At 39.5% G+C, this 20,721-nt stretch overlaps 1 protein-coding gene across 1 annotated transcript in view; it reads left to right on the top strand.

Annotated features, from left to right (window-relative positions):
• The window catches only part of EEIG2 (EEIG family member 2), a 79,223-nt gene that overhangs the window by 41,324 nt on the left and 17,178 nt on the right, over positions 1-20,721 (top strand). The window contains exons 3-5 of the mRNA NM_001010883.3: positions 4,800-4,829; positions 10,755-10,871; positions 14,959-15,005. Of these exons, the coding sequence (NP_001010883.2) occupies positions 4,800-4,829; positions 10,755-10,871; positions 14,959-15,005 (194 nt within the window). The remainder of the gene's footprint in view (positions 1-4,799; positions 4,830-10,754; positions 10,872-14,958; positions 15,006-20,721) is intronic.

The raw sequence follows: 20,721 nt of genomic DNA on the forward strand, positions 1-20,721 counted from the left end.
TCAGTCAGAATACCATTGCCATGGTATTTTAAGTATTACATAAAATACTTAATATAATATACTAAATAATATTTTAAGTATTATATAAAAGAAGCCATAAAAGAAAAATTAGTAAACTCAACTATATAAACATTTTATGCATTACAAAATATAACATAAAGTCTTAAATTAGGGGAAAATAGTCACAAATTGTGACAAAGGACTACTTTCCTTAGTATAGAAAGAGCACTTTCAAATAAATTAATTTTAAAAATAAACAACCATTTAGAAAAATAGGCAAGGGGCAGAATAAACACTTGGCAAAAAAACTATAAATAGCTTTTAAACATAAAAATGTGCTCAATCTGACACAAAACTACAAATAAGATACCATTTTTTACCTATAAAGTTGACAAAAATGAAAAAGTTTGATAGTGTGCTCTGTTGCCTAGGACACAGGGAAGCAATCAGTGACCAGCCAGCAGTACTATTCCAGGCACTGGGAGGACAGTGGTGAACTGGAATGAGTTCCTGCCCCCAGGGACTTTACTTTCTGGATGGAGTTGGGGGAGGTGTGATAGGGAAGACAGAGACCATAGTAAACATGTAGCCAAATAAGATTATTTGAGGTCATGATAAGTTTTATGTGTAGGAAACAATTCAGTAATGGAGAATAGCTTGGGCAAAGGAGATTATTTTAGAGAACTGAGGCAGGAGTCAGTGAAGACTTCTCTGAAAGGTAACATTTGAAGAAGGGGCAACCATGTAAAGGTCTAGGGAAAGGCCATTCTAAAAGAGTAGGACCTGAAAGCAAAAAAGCCCCTGTACTAGTTTCCTAGGACTGCTATAAATAAATAGCACACTCTGGGTGGCTTTAAACAACAGAAACTTACTGTCTGAGTTATGGATGACAGAAGTTCAAAGTCAAGGTGTCAGCAGGGCCATGCTCCCTCTGGAAGTGCTGGGGGAGAAACTCTCACACCTCTCGCCTAATGTCCAGCAGCCTCAGGCATTCCTTGACTTGTGGATACATTATTCCATTCACGTGATTGTTTTCTCCCTTTGTGTCTTCACATAATTTTCCCTCTTTGCATGTCTGTTTCTCTGTCAAAATTTCCTGTTTTTATAAGAATACCAGTCATATCAGATTAGGACCTCATTTTAACTTGTGTACCTATATGAAGACCCTATTTCTGGCCAGGTGTGGTGGCTCACACCTGTAATCCTAGAAGTTTGGGAGGCTGAGGCAGGCAGATTGCTTGAGCCCAGGATTTTAAGACCAGCCTGGGTCACATGGAGAAACCCCATCTCCATAAAAAATACAAAAATTAGCCAGGTATGGTGGCACTCACTTGTAGTCCCTGCTACTTGTGAGGCAGATGTTAGAGGACCACCTGAGCCCAGAAGGCTGCAGTGAGCCATGATCATGCCACTGTACTCCAGCCTGGATGACAGAGCCATACCCTGTCTCAAAAAAAAAAAGAAGACCTTACTTCCAAATAAGGTAACATTCTGAGGTAAGGACTTCATGTCTTTTTTTGGATGAGGGAGACGGGGGACATAATTCAACCCATAACAGGCCCTAAAGTATAATAAACATGGAGATTATTTTAATACTTCTGATATTAATGGACTAGCTTGTTGCAGACCACTGCTCCCTCTGAGAACTATTAGAAAAGCTAGACATAATATCCAAAACAGCCGCTTGAAGGCATTGGAAGCTAGTGAGGTAGTAAGGACTTGAGAGGCTTAGAATCCATAGAGGAGGGAAGCATAGAGATAAGCCTGACATTTGGCATTGCTTTTACCCTCAAAGCATTTGCTGATTTGCAAGTAGTGGCAAAGAAACTGAGCACAAAAGAATGGCTGAGCAGCGAAGACACTGAGTTGAGATTGCAGCAATCTTAACAGGTCTAAAGGAACAAAAACTGAAATCTGGGGACAACCAAAGAGGAGGGGCCTTGATAAACACCTCAGGCTTTCAGTTGGGACTCACTCTCTGAGAGTTTCAACCTAGTAGGAAGAGTGTAATACACACAGATCAGCCTTACAAAGACAAACCCAGCCTCCAGTCCGCTCAATCCCTTCTTGGATGAAGGTGATCTGCCTCTTCCTTACTACTTGCCAAAAGCAAATGTATGCCTTCTCCTATATCACATCACTCTGAACCTCAAATTATTTCTTCAAGTTTTCATACCCAGTTATCAAGCATACGAAGAGACATGACTACATGACCAAAAATCAAAAGGAAAAATATGATAAGAAGAGACCCATGGAAGATACAGATTTTGGAAAGATCAAAGACAAACTTTTACAATAACTATAATTAGTGAACAAGATGGAGAATTTCATCAGAGAACTAAAATTGTTTTTTAAAAAAGCAGCAAATTAAATTCTAAAACTGAAAAGTACATTAACTAAAATTTAAAGCTAAGTAAATGAATAAAACTTCAACAGATGGATTTAACAGCAGGTTTACCATAACTGAAGAGAGCATTGGTAAATTGGAAAATAGAAGAAAATATTCAGGCTAAATCACAGAGAGAACAAGGGTGGAATACACAAGAAAGAAGGTAAGACATGTAGGAGACAGTAGAAAGGTCTAATTGTATAAGCCCTAGGAGGAGAGACAAGTGAGTGTGGCTGAGAATCTTCTAAAACCAATCAAAGATATCGAACCACAGATTCAGAAGTACTGTGAACCCTATGCAGTGTAAACAGCAAGTCTGGCATGTTTAAATGACAAGACCAGCCTGGCTGTGGCGTGGGAAACAGAGAGGCAAAGTTCTTGGTAGTGGGATTGGACGCAGTAGATCAGGCCGGGCCTTATGAAGAGTTTAGATCTAATTATAATTGTAAGTATTGGAGGATTTTAATAAGGAGAGACATCATCTTCTGTAAGATCACTTTTGCTGCTGTGTTAGATGAATCACAGAGACCACTTAGGTGGTTTGTGTTAGTTGAAGGGAGAAGTGCTTATGTTTTGAATAGAGTTAAAACATATAAGTGGTCATTATTGTGCAGCCAGTTATCCAACTAAAAATAGAGGATTCTGTTACTATGGAGTGGGGGATATGGATGATTGGGATATGACTAGCATTCTTTCTACAGAGATTGAATGAAGGAATAGATCCAGCAAACGAGAGTGAGGAGTTGCCAGTGAAGTAGGAATAAAACCAGGCAATTGTGGTGCCATGGAAGTTTAGCGAAGAAAATGATGCAACAAAGGAGGTGGAGTGGCCAAGTGTGTCACCTACTACTGAGATGTTGAATAAGATGAAGATCGGGAGCCTTTGGCTTTAACAAAATGAAGATCATTGGTAATCTGAAGAGCTATTATAAAGGGCCGAGTACAGTGGTTCACACCTGTAATCCCAGCAATTTGGGAGGCCGAGGAATGAGGACTGCTTAAGGCCGGAAGTTTGAGACAAAACTAGGCAACATGGCAAGACCCCACCTCTCCAAAAAAAAAAAAAAAAGAGAAAAAAAAAATTAGCTGGGTGTGGTGGCACGCACCTGTAGTCTTAGCTACTCAGAAGGCTGAGTGGGAGGATCTCCTGAGCCCAGGAGTTTGAGGTTTCAGTGAGCTGTGGTCATCCCACTGCACTCCGGCCTGGTTGATAGAGAGAGACCCTGTCTCTAAGAAATAAAATAAATAAAAAATGAAAAAGAACTATTGCAGAGGGAAAATAAGGATGAAACCCCAATTGGAGTGGGTTGAAGAGAGAGTAGGATATAGCAAATATAGATAAATATTTTGATGAGTTTGGCTATAGAGGGGAGCAAAGAAAAGAATTAGCTAGCAGAAACAAGGATCATCTGGAGAAAATTTTGTTTTCTTATGGAAGGGCACTATTAAGGAATATAACAGTGACCTAATGAAAATGTGATCACTCATAATGGGGTAGATGTAGTGGGATGGCCACACCTGAAATCACTGAAGCAGGGAAGGGGAGGAACAGCAAATATTCATGAATGATAATAGAGTTTATCATAGATTGTTCCTTAACATATTTGTATTCACTGCTTGAAAGATGGAAATGATAGATAATGCATTATGTATCTGATTTATGCAAGAAAGATAAGAGACAACACCATCCAGCAGATGCATTTTTAAAAGTAGGTAGGGAGTGGGGAGTTTGGCCCTAATAATAATGACAAAGACATATATACAAACACATACCATGTGCTAGGTATTGTTCTGAGTGTTTTACACTTAATTCTCACAGCTGTGTGAAAACAAATCTAAAGATTTGGCAAATTTATGTACAGTGACATATTTTAAGTTAAAAAAAGACATCATCTATTATTTTTTATTATTTTCCACTTTGGCCAGCCTTTTCACATTAGGTAAGAGGGTTTGTACTATACTAAATGTATACTTTTACATGCACAGAGTATCTCTTCAATGATTCATAAAAACTGGTTGTCCCTGGGGTGTGGTTTCAAGTCCTGTTGAAATCTTTCTATATTATATTAGTATGCTTAACTGAGTAAATAATTTAACCTTTCTTTGGTGATTCAGGTTTTTGCAGTGAGTCCACAACACTTTTTGACCATTTCTTCTTCAGCAAATAGATAAAATATTAGCTTATATTCTCACCATTTGTCTCATTTAGATTAAAGTTAAATGCTAAATAAAAATTCTGGTCATTTGGGGGGCTTGTGGGAGTCTAAATAGTTGGATTTAAGATCGTCAGAATTTTACTGTCTATGATATTTGCCAGCATATATATGTCTGCTTCAGAATTATTTGACATATATTTAATTTTAAATCTTTCATTATGTGATATCCTTATAGTATTTTCTGTCTTTGGCAGGAATTAAAAGGTGGAAAAGCTTATGCAAAGGTAAGCAGATGTTCTTTTAACTGTTTTGGAACATGTAATGTTGCTTATTGCTATTTATAGGCTTAAAAATTAAATTGTTTACTCTTCTAATATCTGTTCAAGCTTGGCTCTTTTTGTATGCAACTTGGAGATTGAACAGTTGGATCTAACAGTAAATTATAGGCATATTCTTTCTAAATGCTGATTATGGAATATTATTCTTTAGATTCAGCCTCCCTGCTAGAGGATGATCTCTAGTTTGCATTAAGCCATAGCATGTGATAATTCAAAGGATCTCACCTGGGAAGTGTTGCCAGGCCCACCTCCCCCAACTGTAAGAGGACCTGTCCTTTATGCTGTCTTAGCACTCTGTGTATACATGATCAGTACTGCTGGTTTTTACTTTTACTAGCTATGTGGAATTACTAGAGAATGTGCTCACCTTTTTGCTGACTAGAAGGAATTAGTAACAACATTACCAGAAATTCACATAGTCCTTTTGTATTTCCAGTCTCTGTGAATGGTACCTCCATCAATCCAGTCACCTGAACTGAGAGATTGTACACTAGTCTTTTTTTTCCCCTAATTTTTTAAATTTTGTTTTTTATTTTTGTAGAGATGGGGTCTTGCTATGTTACCCAGGCTAGTCTTGAACTCCTGGCCTCAAGTGATCCTCCTGCCTTGGCCTCCCAAAGTGCTGAGATTACAGGCGTTAACCACCATGCCTAGCCCCTGTACACTAGTTTTAACTTCCATATCTACCAAACACCCTAAATCTAGTTGGTTGCAATGCCAGGATGTTCTTTGTTAAAGTAATAGAAAACCTTCCTCAACTAGAGATTTTTCCTATGTTACAAAACAAGGAGATGTGAGATAGACTTGCTTCAAAACTGGTCAATCCACTGACTGAAGAACGTCATCAAGAACTCATTATTTTTCTCTTTCCATTCTGCCATTCTCTATGTGATGACTTTGTTCTTGGCCAGCTCCCCTCCTGGACACCAGGTGGCTGGCTGCTTAATTTTAAGTCAACACATTCACGTATGACAAAAATCCAGCTGCTTCTCCCTGTATTACTTTTTTTTGAGTGAGGAAATGTTTCCTAGATGGCCCTCGGAGGGTTTTCCCATACCTTTCATTGGCTGGAACTAGATTATATGCCCACCGTAAACTAGTTGTGGGCAATAGGAATGGATTGCCATGGTTAGCTTAAACTAATCACAATCTAACAATGAGCTAGGGTTTGGGTTTCCTTCCTTGTACACATGGGTGAACTGAGGCTGGACGCCTGAATAAAACCAGGGTTTTGTGGCTGGGCGTGGTGGCTCATGCCTGTAATCCCAGCACTTTGGGAGGCTGTGGTGGGAGGATCACTTGAGCCCAGGCATTCATGACCATCCTGGACAAGATGGTGAGACCCTGTCTCAGTAAATAAATAAATAAAATAAATCAAGGCTTTGCTATCAAGGAATAGCAGGGCATTGATTCTGGGCTAGGCAAACAACAAGGTCTGCTGTAGTTGACCAGTCCTCTTGATTTTTCCCCTCTAAAAAGGTCTTGAAACCATACTTTCTCTCCATTCCCAGGGCCACTGCCTCAGGTTATGCCTTCATTATTTTTTATTTACAGCCTGCACTGGCCTTCTAGAGTCTGTCTCTGTTATCTCCCTCCATCCTCCATATTATTGCCAAAATAATCTTTCTAAAATTAAAACATGATCATATCGTTCCCCCATTTTTAGTCCTTTAGCAGCTATTCATTGCTTATAAAGGAAAATGAAAATTTCTTAATTTACGTGTGTCTGGCATGTAAGACACATCTTGTCATCTCTACTGTCATCTGCACATGAACACACAAGTAAACACTCATACATTCATCCTTATGCCTCACACATACCACCCTCACAAACCTGGAGTATCCCATGCTATCTTAGCCTTTTGATTTGTAACTTGATGTTTTTCCTGCCATGCTTATATTTCTCCCTCCTCTTGTCCTGTCAACTCATGTATCGTTAAAGACTCAGCTTAGTCATCCCTCCCCACTGAGAACTTTTCTTTTCCTCTCTTTCTTGTAACTGTGTCTTCCTCTATCACAGCACTTTCACACTGCATTAAAGAATCTGTTCACTTTTCTATCCTCCCCTATTAAACTATAAGAGTAGGAATGACTTCCATATTACCTGAAATGTGGATGCTGAAGATTATTTCATGAATGAATTAATATCTGGGACAAATACAGCTAGTGTTTATGTATATATGCCATTTCATGAGACAGTTACTCAGTGAAGCCAAAGAAAAAATCATAAGGAAACATAGACTTTCTGGTTCTTCACTAGAATGTAAGCTCTTTCAAGGCGGAGTAGGTGTCCTGTTCATCACTGTTTCCCAGTGTCTGCAACTGAGCCTGTCATATAAAAGATGCTTGATAATATTGACTTCACTCATTAGTAACTTTTAGCCTGAAATATCACATTGACATGCCCCACCTTTTAATATACTTTTTAATAGGGGCTGTCTTAGTTAGTTTGGGATGCTATAGCAGATTACCATAGATTAGGTGATTTAAACAACGTTTATTTCCTGCAGTTCTGGAGGCTGGGAAGTCCAAGATCAAGGTGCTGGTGGATCCAGTCTGGTGAGGGCCTGCTTTCTGCTTTGCAGATGTCTGTCATCTCATGGTGTCCTCAAATGGCAGAGAGCAGAGAAAAAGGAAGCAAGCTCTCTTTTGTCTTTTTAAAAGGGCATTAATCCATTCTTGAGGACTCCACTCTCATGACCTAATTACCTCTTATAGGCTCTGCCACCTAATACCACCCTTTTGGGGGTTAGGGTTTCAACATATGAATTTTGGGGGGACATAAACATGCAGGCATAAGAGGCACTGATCAGATTCTCCCCCTTTTTAACTTATTGACATTGTAATATACCAACATTACAATAGTAGATGGTAAGCCAATGGGCTATTGTTTTATTCAACAAATATGTATTAAGTGCCAGGCACTGTTCTTGGTACTATTCTAAGTACTGGAGATACAGCAGTGAACAAAACAGACAAATCCCCTGCATTTGTGGAGCTTACATGCTAATGGAAGCAGGGGTCGTTGGAGGAACAGACAATATGCAAATATGAAATATGTGTGTACATGATGTGATAGTAACTACTAAGGAGAAAAATAGAGGGGGTAAGGGGTGGAAGGCGGTAACTACAAGGTAAGGCAGGGAAGAGGGATGTGATATAGGATGGTCAGGGAAGGCCCCTTTAGAGAGATGACTTTTAAACATTGACCTGAATGGAGTAAAAGAGAAAGTTATAAGAAAATCCGAGAGACAGCATTTCCCGCAAAAGAACAGTAAGTGCTAAAGGCCTTGAAGTGATCTTGGCATTTTCAAGAAAGAGGACATTGTGGCTGCCAGAGTAAATGCGGAGGAGGAGGAAATGAAGTTGGCCAGGTAGCCAGGCACAGAGGAATAGGAGACCGCAGAGAAAACTCTTCCAAGAGGAACGAGATCATGACCTTTTCAGGGACATGGATGGATCTGGAATCCATTATCCTCAGCAAACTTATGCAGGAACAGAAAACCAAACGCTGCATGTTCTCACTTATAAGTGCAAGCTGAGCAAATGTTGATCACGTGGACACAGGGAGGGGATCAGCACACACTGGGGCCTGTCGGGAGGGGGCGGGAGGAGCAAGAGCATCAGGAAAAATAGCTGTTGCATGCTGGGCTTAATACCTAGGCGATGGGTTGATAGGTGCAGTAAATCACCATAGCAAACTATGTGACAAACCTGCACGTCCTGCACATGTACCCCAGAACTTAAAATAAAATCAAAATTTAAAAAACTCTTACAGGAAATCTTGCTGTAAAGAGGGCCAGAGAAATGGTTCAATAGCCTGGAGAGAGACAAAGGGTGAGGTTTTGTTTTGTTTTCTTTTGTTCATTAAAGTAGGAGAAAATCCAGCATGTTTGTGTGCTTTTGGAAACGATCCAGCAGAGAAGGGAAATTTTAGAATGCACAAGAGCAGAAAGCATAACTGAAGTGATTAACTTGAGTGGGTGAGAGGAGAGTGGTTGGCCTCAGACAGTGCTGTAAGTGGGAAAGCAAGCATGTGGGCACAGATGCAGGTAGGTGAGTGGATGTCACTGGCAGTAAAAGCTTATGGAAGTTAAGTGCTCTTTTGATTGCTTTAATTTTCCGATTGAAATAGGAAGTAAGGTCATCAGCAGAGAGTGAGGATGAGAAAGCGATGTTGGAGGGTCAACGAAAAGGATAATGTATGAATCATAATAGGGTGCACTGATAATGTGTGATCATTCATGTAAGTATTCACATGCCCAGTTGGATATGGCTTTGTCCTGGACATATCCAAGCTTTTTCTGCTGATCTTTTGCCCCTCTAAGAGAGGCAATAAGACAGCTGGGCGCGGTGGCTCACACCTGTAATCCCAGCAATTTGGGAGACTAAGGCAGGCGGATCACGAGGTCAGGAGATCGAGACCATCCTGGCCAACACGGTGAAATCCCATCTCTACTAAAAATACAAAACAAAAATTAGCCAGGCGTGGTGGTGGGCGCCTGTAGTCCCAGCTACTTGGGAGGCTGAGGCAGGAGAATGGCGTGAAGCTGGGAGGCAGAGCTTGCAGTGAGCCAGAGCTTGCAGTGAGCCAAGATCGTGCCACTGCACTCCAGCCTGGGTGACAGAGCGAGACTCCATCTCAAAAAAAAAGAGAGGCAATAAGACTAGAGTAACCATGTGCAAATTAGGTGGGTATTACTGCTGCCTGATGTGTGTCTGACTTATTGCATTTGGGGCTTGTGGCCCTTCAGCTGCTCTCTGGGTTCTTATTCTTACATTCTTTTTGTACCAATTAAAAGCTATTAAAATAATGCTCCAGCCTGCAATTAAAATATTCATCTTGAATGCCATTTATATGTGCCCACTGTGTGTTTTAAAACCCTAAGGCAAACAACTTAGAATCACAGCAGTTTTTGAAATGTATAATACTTTTTATTGTATATTTATGGAAATATGCTTAATAAGTTGCAACTCAATTCATTTTTTGTTAATAAAAAGACTGTATATAGACTTAGCTTGCTCAAAAAATGATACAATGAGGTTGATTTGTTGTACCACATGGAAATGAGAAACAGGGTTGAGCAACAACAGAGGAAAGACTATAGGGCAACCTTTGGCAGCTGCAGAAAATGGGGACTGAACCTGAGCAGTAATAACAAGAAGGAACAGGTTTGAGCTGAACATCTGACAGCAGCAGAGAGGGTTGATGTGGGGCAGAGTTCTGAGAAAGGGAGGAATTAGGTTTCATAAAGAGAGATTTAGTTCAAGGATGATCAGCAAGGCAAATGTGGAAGGTAGTGAAAGAGAAGGCACTGGTACCAAAGAAAATAGGTGATTCACTTAAGTCACTCCAGTTCTTGCATGGGAAGTGAAAACTTAATAACCTGCAACTATCTGCCTTCACCAGTGGTTAACTTGGCATAGAACTGGACCCAGAATAGGGAGAGAAGGGTCTAATCATTCTTCTCTATGTGTATGCAAATTATCACTCTTGGTTTGCTAGTATTTCCCACAGGGTGGTGTAAATACCACTATTTGCAATGATTTTAGCTGTTTGATACACATTATTTTTACTTTAACAGTAATATATATTCTTTAATGTATATAGAAAAAATATATTTACCACATCAAATCTGAGTTCAAAGATCCTGTTGCTGAACGCAAGAATAGAATAAATAAATTCATATAAAAGGTGAACCAATTTAAAAACACAAAGCAAATAATAGAACAGGTATTAAGAGTCAAAAATTGCAAATAAATGAAGTTGGAGAAAACCTGTCTAGGGTATGGGTTGAATATTTATTTTAAGGAGCATATGATAGAAGCCTACTAGATAGTCTATTAATATAATTCTCTTTCTTTTCATAGCTGGGCTTTGCAGATCTAAACCTGGCAGAGTTTGCTGGATCAGGAAATACCACTCGCCGCTGTTTACTGGAAGGCTATGATACCAAAAATACAAGACAGGATAATTCCATTCTTAAAGTAAGCACGTTTCAGGATTTACTTGTCAAGAATAAAATTATCTGCCTTTAAATAAGCGTATGTATATATTGTCAAGGACAAGATGTGAATCAGTGCTGATATGATAAACTGACCATACCACTGAAGTATTCATCACTTAGGGAAAAACCCCATCTAAGTCACAAATGCAGTGAAAAGTAACAAATGTTCACCTTCATGGTCCAAAGGTGTTTTTCTTTGACGTTTGAGCATTCAGAGAATACATACACCACTATAACATAAGAGCTCATTGGGAGGAAGGAGCATGATGAATTAATGAATACCTTAAAATGTTTGTAGCTCCCATAAGGTGATTTACAGAGCAGCTGCGATAGGTACATAGAAGCCACTGTGTTCTCTTGTAAACTAGTGAAGTGACAGATGGAACCCACTTCTGGGCATCTGCCCGGCTTTTTCCAAGTACCATCAGGAGCTATGTGCTCTAGTAATGAGTGCGAATGTATACTTCATAGAGTTAATTGTAGTATTAAATGAGATTAATTGAGAAAATATTTGTAAAGTACTTTGCGCCTAGGAAACCCCATTAGATAGACCTTTTGCAGTGTTTCAGTTAGGTTACCCCATGATGGTAAGTTATCTAATAAGAAAGGAAAATAGTTCTGAGTAAAAACTGGTGTTCAAAAGTTAGTGAAGCAAAGAATTACCTGATACTCTACAGTTTTCAAACTTTTTTGCAGCAAATCTTAAGCTCTGAACATACGAAAATGTGTAAAATGGTTATTATGGCCAGTCCAATGCATAAAGTGGTTTTTGTAACCCTCACACAAATTTAGCAGCTGGAAAGAAAGGTGGGACAGCGAGTTGATATGGGAAGGAAAATGTTCAGAAGACAAGGAAGAAATTAGAAAAGTATCACAATATAAACTTCTGTACACATCATGTTGATTGCATAGTTTTGTGGTTTTATAACTCTAAAAAGTTTTCAAAGCACTTGCCCATATCTCCATGAGATGAACAGGGTTAGACGGATGAGGATAGATTGTTATTCACATTTTATAGATGAAGAGCTGAAACTAAAGTATCTCACAAAAGTAGTCAGTGGCAGAGCTGGGACCACAGTGCATGTCTTCTCCTGCCTGGTCAGGGTTCTTATTTCCTCGTATTTCTTATATGAAAAGATGGATAATTCTTCTCAGAATGACAATGTTTTCATTGGAAATTGAAATAACTTTTTAATTTCAGACCCCCACTTTCCTAAGAGCCAACTCATGGAGTAATTTCCTTCTGGCTTCCCATTCATCCTTCCACACCGTCTCTCCCACTTTGTCCTACAAAAAAAAATACTCTTTGAAGATCATGCCATTCAGTCATAACACTCTCTCCTTTCCCAATCTCTGCCATCTCCTGACCCCTTAGGTACCGTCTCGCTCCTATCCATTGATGACTTAGCTCCTGGCTCACAGTTTTTCTCTATATCTCTTCTCAGGTCATCATTTTTCCATAGCTTCACCATCTGTGCAGACGAGCTAGCCTTGTGGACTATCTTATCTATATTTTCTCTCCTGATAGCTGATCTTCTATGAGTCTAAGGCTTCTCGGTTCCTTAAACTCCCTATCTCCAGCAATATTTTCCTCCTCCTCATCTCAGTTCCTACTCCCATGGTCACACTCTAGAGTCTAGACCTTTTTACTCCTAGAAACTTCACCCCCAAAAAATTTCAATTTAAAGTTTTCTTCCTCCTACCACTGTCTCTTATGTTTCCAGTCCTCTTAGTCTCCTACTCACTTAGCTATCTTTAACCTTACCACTCTCCCACTATCCATCAGCCCTGACTTGCTTCTACTTCCCTGTCTATCCAGCTTAAATTTCATGGGTCCATAAGGGCAGGAGTTCAAGACCAGTCTGGGCAACATAGTGAGAACCCCATCTCTAAAAAAAAAAAAAAAAAAAAAAATACTCCTGGCTCCTCTGTCCCTGTCTCCCTGCATTGTCTGAATAATCCCCAACTTTTGTTAACTCACTTATTAAATATCTACCCTTGCATGCTGAGCATTGCTGAAGAGAATCACACAACCAGACTAGCTGCCATTACTAAAGCCATGCTCACTGCCATCTGGCAGTCATACTCTACTTCCTTCATATGCTTCCTTTCTCAATTTTAGATATTCTGTCTCATACCTTTTTTCTCCTCGTATCCCAACACATTATTCTTGCTCTCAGATACTGACCTTGCCTTATCCTATTGAGAAAACAGAAGCCATTAAACTCAAATTCCCTCATCTTCCCATCATAGACTTTACCTGCCTCTCCCGCCTTATCCTTTTTGTCTCCTGTTACAATGGATGGCATGTCCCCTCTCCTGTCAGAAGTCAGTCCTTCCTCTTGGCTTCTGGAATCCAAAGTTTGCCTAATCAAGAGCTTTACCCCTTAGACTATCCCCTCTTCTCATCATCTCTACCTCGAATGAATCATCCTCATCAACATATAAAGAAACAGCTCCACTGTTTCCCATATTTATAAAGAAAGACAAAAATTAACCTCTCATCTTCTTCAACTACTGTCCCACATCTCTGTTCTACTTAACTATTCAGTTCCTTAAAGCTGTATGTGCCATCTCCATCTCCTTTCTGAGACATCCGTGATATTCAAGAGTGCAGTTTTGATGGAGTTGGAAAGCAGACCTCAGGGTTCTATGAAAGAAGAGATGATGAGGAAATCAGTGCAGCAGGATAGATTTGGCATTTAAAGAGAAAAAAGAGTCATGGAGGTGCTGGGATGAGGAGATAGGAATGAAATAAGGCTATATAAGATACATGTCATCCATTAGCTGCAGAACATACAACAATGTACATATTCTTGTATTCATTAAGACTATGAATTTTGCTATGTGCAGCCCTGGGATCACATCTCAGCTCTGCCCTTTACTAGTTATCTGGTTTTTAAAATATCACTTAATCTCCCTGAGGTTAAAATGAAAATAATTGCTCTCTCCTAGGAATACTGAAAATTAAAGGAAATAATGCATATTAAACACATAGCTTATGCCTGGCACATAATGAATTCTCAAATCATGATTGTTGTTAATGTTGTTGTTACTATTACCATTATCATTATTATTCCCATAAGAACATAAAGAGGTCCTATGACTGACTGTTAAAGGTAGTCAGCAACTAGAGAATAGCAGCATCTTAGAAAGTATTAGAAAAGCTTTAAATCCTGGTTGGGCACAGTGACTCACACCTATAATCCTAGCACTTTGGGAGGCCAAGGGGTAGGATCACTTGAGGCCAGGAGTTCAAGATCAGCTTGGACAACATAAGCAAGACCTCATTTCTGCAAAAAAAAAAGAAAAAGGAAAGAATTAGCCAGGCGTAGTGTGCACCTATAGTCCCAGCTACTCAGAAGGCTGAGACAGGAAGATCATGAGCCCAGGAGTTTAAGACTGCAGTGATCTGTGATAGCACCACTGCACTTCAGCCTGGGTGACAAAGCAAGACCTTATCTCAAGAATTAAAAAAAAAAAAAAAAAAGTTTTAAATTCTGATCTAAAGCTGGAACAAAGGTCAGAAGCTTTTTACTCTTAGAAGCCACCAGCTGGCATCCCTTGAAACATCAACGTGGCAACTTGAAGGAAAACATTACCAGACACTTAGGTACCACAGGAATTTGGGAGTAAAGACAGATAGATTAGCACAGCCACACACCCACAGGATTATTACTGGTAAATTATTATTGCTATTTGTTTCCATTATTTCCATTCAGATTTTTGCAATTTTGAGGTTTTGAATGTTAAAAATGATTTTAATCTATATGGAGCAGTAATTGAATATTGAATATAACCCACTTCTTCTTTTTTTTTTTTTTTTTTTAATAGAGACAGGGTCTTGCTCTGTTGCCTAGGCGGGAGTGCAGTGGCATGACCATAGCTTACTATAACCTCAAACTCCTGGGCTCAAACAATCCTCCTGCCTTAGCCTCCCGTGGATATAACCCAATTCAACAATCATTTTATTTAATGCTTTCCCAATAGAAAATATCGGACTAAGTGCTGTGAAGGAAGCATTTTATAATTTTTTATAATCGTGATATTTCTTGTTTTATATTTAGGTTTTGATCAGTATGCAACTGATGTCTGGTGACCCATGTTTTAAAACGTAAGTTGATACCCAATAAATGGATTATGTATCTAAAAGTATAAGAAAGATTTATTTGTTTAAATTTTTACATTAATATTTTGTAGTGCTTATAAGAAAATACCAGTTAAGGGATAGTTTCTTCCCTGGGAGACTGACCTGACCCTCTTAGAAGTTATGTTTACCTATTACCAAATGAGTTCTCCATACTCCAAATTATTAATGCTATAGGTCTTTCATCATCTTCGGGTTTTGCGTAAAATTATATAAGCAAAAATTTTTAATACGGCTTCTGTGAACATATTCATTTCTTCAATAAACACCTATTAAGTGCCTTACCATGTGTTAGGCCATATTCTAGATACTAGAGAAACAGCTGTGAAAAAAATAGATTAAGTCCCTGCCATCCTGGAGCTTATATTCTAAGAGGAAAATGGACAATAAGCTAACAAGTAAATATATAATATACAAACGGTTCATAAGCGCTTTGGAGAAAAAGGATGGGAGGGCCATCGTGAAGAGAAGTGTTGCTATTCTATATATAGTAGTCAGGGGAGGCCCCCCCCGGTAAAGATGATATTTGAGTAGAGACCTGAAGGAGGTGGGAAGCAAGTCACACTGGCATTAGGGGGAAGAGTATTTGAGGTAGAGGAAACAAGGACAAAGACCTTGAGGGAGAAGTGTTCTTGGCACGTTCAAGTAGCTGCCTGGAGAGCAGCGGGTCTAAAGCAGAGTGAATGAAGAGGCGGGTGATAGGAGATGAGGTCAGATGATAAGGAGTCTTGTGGCCATTATAAAAAGGACTGCCACTCACACTCTGAGTGAGATAGAAAAGCTATTGGAGGTTTTGAGCAGAGGAGTAAAATTATCTGACTTGTGGCTGCTAGATAGGGAATAGACAATCTGTAGGAGTAACAGAGAGGACAGGGACACAAATAAGTAGATAAAAGGCTGTTTTCAGTAATCCAAGGTTTTAAGCCTGAGTAACTGGAAGAATGGTGCTCTCATTTGTTGAGATGAGAAAGACAAGAGGAACAAATTGGGAGCTTGGGTGTTAGACGTTTTAAATTGGAGATCCCTATTTAACATCCAGCGGGGCATGTCAAGTAGGCAATTGGTGGATAGATCAACTAGAGTCCAGTGGGGAGATCTGGGCAGGAGATAGAAGTTTGGAAATTATTACATCATCAGCATACAGGTAGTAATTAAAGCCATGAGACTTGAATAAGTAACTAGAGGGAACGAGTAGAGATGGAAAAGAACCAGAGACTGAGGTGGGGACACCCCAGCGTGTTAGAGGTCGGGGAGATTGGGAAGAAGAATGAGCAAAGAAACCACCAGTGTGATCAGAGGAGGAAAGCAAAGCAGAGTCCTGTCCTGAAAACCAAATGAAGAAACGGCCTCAGAAAGGCAGGAATAAGCACCTGTGTCACACGCTGCTGGAGTGGGTCTCAGAAAATGAGGACTGAGGATTGACCTTTGGAATTTGCAGTATAGAGACTATTGATGACTTTGGCAGGCACTTTGGTAGAATGCCCTTAGACTAAAGCCTTTTGAGCATGGGTTAAAGAGAGTTTGGGAGGAGAAAAATTGGAGACAGTGAGTATAAACAATTCTTATGAGGGGTTTTGCTATAAAAAAGAAACAGAAAGATGGGGTCATAAGTAAAGAGAGGATTTGGAGTAGGGCAGGTTTTATTCATTTTTAAGATGGAAGATGATATAACATATTTGAGTACCAATAGTATTGGCTCAACAAGAGGGAAAAACTGATGATCCAGAAAAGGGACTGTTGCTAGAACAGCGCCCTTGGATTGTTGGAGGGAGGAAGGCAGAGAACATGGCTACTGACGCAGGTAGAGGAGAAATGGAAGCATATAGAAGTTCTTTTCCAGTTGCTTCTGATTTCTTAGTGAAATAGGAAACAAGATGCTCATTGAAGAGCAAGGACAGGGAAGATAGAGGAAGGGGTTTGAAGAAAGGAAAAGGTGTGCAGAAGTCCTCACAGAGAGTGAGCATGAATGGAACAGGGAAATGCAGGATTGCCTGTCAGCAGCCTTGAGGACACTTAATGATTAAAAGTGAAAGTTCATTGATACCATTGAAATATCTGAGAAAAATACACATAGAAAACTAAAGAAAACATTACCTCCCTATGTATCAACTTCATGTTTTTAATAGCTGTAACTTAGAAAGCAACATTTGGCCGGGCTCGGTGGCTCACGCCTGTAATCCCAGTACTTTGGGAGGCCGAGGCAGGAGGATCACTCTACAAAAAATACAAAAATCAGGCGTGGTGATGCACACCTGTGGTTCCAGCTACTTGGGAGGCTAAGGGGAGGATTGCTTGAGCCTGGGAAGTGGAGGTTGCAGTGAGCCAAGATTGCACCACTATACTCCAGCCTGGGTGACAGAGCAAGCCCCTGTCTCAAAAAAAAAAAAAAATCAATTCTTGATTAAAACCACACATCTTCCTATAACTTAGCCTTCCTGTGCTGTCTTCTGATAAACCATGGTTTCCTGACTCCTTTATTTTCTGCTTTCTTGGGATTAAACCAATTTTGCTATACTATTTTTGGTGTCTCAGGTAACTGTTTTTCTATTGGAGTAAGATTTAGGGTAAAATAAGAAAATGAGCAGCAAAACTTAGTAGAAGAAAATAAATTGATCGTTCCTTCTCATGAACTTTTTATGGATATTCCCTTTCTTGCCCTTTCTCTTCCCTTTTCTCTCTCTACTTAAACTCACATATTGAAGAGCTTGAAAGTAGATCATCTAATGTTTTATATTATCTCCATAAATTTAATTCTGACAATCTGGAGTTTATATTTACAGAGAAAGACTTTTGTAATTCATAAAAATAAGCAGACATTACCTAATTCCAAATACATAAAATATTTTTCAAGAGAATCAAACCCTCAGTAGTTTTTCTTTTCTCTTTGAAATTGTTCAAATGTCATTGAAAAAGGGGAAATTCTAACACATTCATACACTTGCACATACTGAATATGTACTGAATAGAAAAACATTTTAACTACTGATGTAAAAAGTAAATTAGTTTTATCAAGTTATATTTAAATATATGTCAAATATGTAAAGTCACATTACTTTAGAGCCGAAAAGAATGTTGGAAGTTGTCTAATCCAGTGATTTTTTTAGACTATTTAGCTACAAAATCCTTTGCTCAAATATATTATGAGGCCAAGCATGGTGGCTTATGCCTGTAATCCCACACTTTGGGAGGCCAAGGCAGGTGGGTCACTTGAGTCCAGGAGTTCACGACCAGCCTGGGCAACATGGTGAAACCCTGTCTCTACCAAAAAATAAATTAAAAAATTAGCCAGGCGTGGTGGTGCGCCTGTCGTCCCAGCTACTCAGGAGTCTGAGGTGGGAGGATCCCTTAAGCCCAAGAAGCTGAGGTTGCAGTGAGCCAAGATCATGCCACTGCACTCCAGGCTGGGTGACAGAGCAAGACCTGTTTCAAAAATAAAGCAAATATATTATGAATCCTAGTATATAAAATTTTACTTTATATCCCCTCCAACTTAGGTAAGATAAGAATAGATTTTCCATTGAGCACACTCCCATACCTACTTCCAGAAGTCCCTAAAGGAGATCATGAAACCAGTTTTAAAAGTGTTGGTGTAATCCAAGTTCTCATTGTACAGATGAGGAAACGGAGTAACAGAGCAATTGTGTGACTTTACTCAGTATCTTTGTCCAGAATGAAGATGTAAATAACTGCTGGAGGGCTTCATTCTACCATTGTCTGCTTTTGTCTATCTTTAAATTTTTCATGATATAAATTGTTTTAAATTTACTTGAGAAACAGGAGTATAGCAGATCCTTAGTCTCAAGTTTAAATCCTAGTTTTAATATTTTCTGAGCAGAAGATCTGTGACATAGATTGTATAATTCTTCTGAAGCACCAATTATATACCATAAGGCCAGAATTTATGAAGAAGACAGCTGGTAAGTCAGCCTAACCACCTACCCTAAACTTTATTGCATAGTTCTCTACAACTCATCAAACACCCACCAACTCTTGTAAAAGAATGAAATTCACTCTGAAAAGTGCTAATAAAGAAAAAAGATATTTTGAGAGAGAAAGTGTATACTCTGCTGGCATTTGGGAATGTGGTGGCAAAGCAGATCTAGGGGTGATATAAGTCTCTTGAATAGCAAGGTTCTGACGCGTTCATATTCCAAAAGGAAGGAAATTATCATTTGTGAAAATGATTTCATGAATGTTACTGTCTCTCAATTCTTAAAACTCTGTAATATAAATATTATCCATATTTTTGAGTGAGGACATCGAGACTAAGAGGTTAAGGAATTAATTCTTCCAGGGTCCCAGGATGCAATCATTCATTCGGTACATGTGTATTGATTGCCTGCCACATGCCAAGACTTAACAAGCTAGAAAAGACCAGCCCCTGCTCTGAAGGGATTCACTGATTACGTGGGAGACAGGCACACAGCATACAGTGTCACTGGGGCACACAGGATAGGATCCCTAGCCACAGTTCTTTGAAAGCCAGGGAAATCTTTACTGAGAAGGGGACACTGAGCTAAGTTTAGGGGATGACTAGGAATTTACTAAGCACAGGAGGTAGGTAGGGACACCCCAGGAGAGAAAACTGTGCACAAGTTTATGCCATCGTTACAGGGCATTGAGTATTTAAGAAATGTCAAATAGGTAATGTTGTCGTTTTATGAGGTCATTTTTCACATATTCTTAACATTACTATAAAGCAATCAAATTAAAGTAATCCCATTTCTTTTTCTATACTTGACCCACATTAAGTGATTTCAGATGAGATATAAAAGCATTTTCAGAACAAAAGGGGTAATGGAACAAAAACTGGCACATGGCAAGCACTCAGTGATTATTTATTCAACAAGACTGAGTTGTCCAGGGAGGTAAGAGAGCTGCCAAGCCCCAGCTAAGATTTTGGATTCTAAATTTGCTTTACTATCAGTCCCCATAGTCAGTGAATTTTCTCCATAATGCTTAGTTGCCCCAGTAATAGAGCAGTTAGTATAGATGGCTGATATTATCAAGGGTTGCAGTTCTTCAGCTTTTTTGAGACCGCAGAACAAGGGGTGCCAAATTGAAGGTGTTGCTTAAAGAGTTGTGGCTGTGGAGTCAGGCTGGAAGGGAGAATGGAGCCAGAGGGAAATAGAGAGGGAAGGGGCCAATGTTTGGGAGTTCTGAGGGTTGGAAAACAGGTCTAAGACATAGAGGGGATAGGGACACTGTAATCAGGTCACCTGTGAAAGAAACTGGCATTAAAAAGGTAAGAATTTTTAGACATGCAGGCATGAGTCAGCCATCAGTGATTAATGACTATGACTGTAGGCTCCATTCTTTGTGTTTCTTCTGTGTATTAGTTTTTCCCATGAAATATTTAATGCAGGGTGTTTTTTTTTTTCCACAAAGCTATTTTACATTATTTGAAAATACAGCCCGAGCGTGGTGGCTCACGCCTGTAATCCCAACACTTTGGGAGGCCGAGGTGGATGGATCACCTGAGGCCAGGAATTCAAGACCAGCCTGGCCAACATGGCGAAACCGTGTCTCTACTAAAAATACAAAAATTAGCCAGGCATGGTGACGGGCACCTGTAATCCAAGCTACTCAGGAGGCTGAGGCAGGAGAATCACTTGAACCCGGGAGGCGGAGGCTGCAGTGAGCCGAGAGTGCGCCATTGCACTCCAGCCTGGGAAATGAGCGA

This window comes from Homo sapiens, chromosome 1 (genome assembly GCF_000001405.40).
Source record: "Homo sapiens chromosome 1, GRCh38.p14 Primary Assembly".
In the NCBI taxonomy this organism is placed as follows: Eukaryota; Metazoa; Chordata; class Mammalia; order Primates; family Hominidae; genus Homo; species Homo sapiens.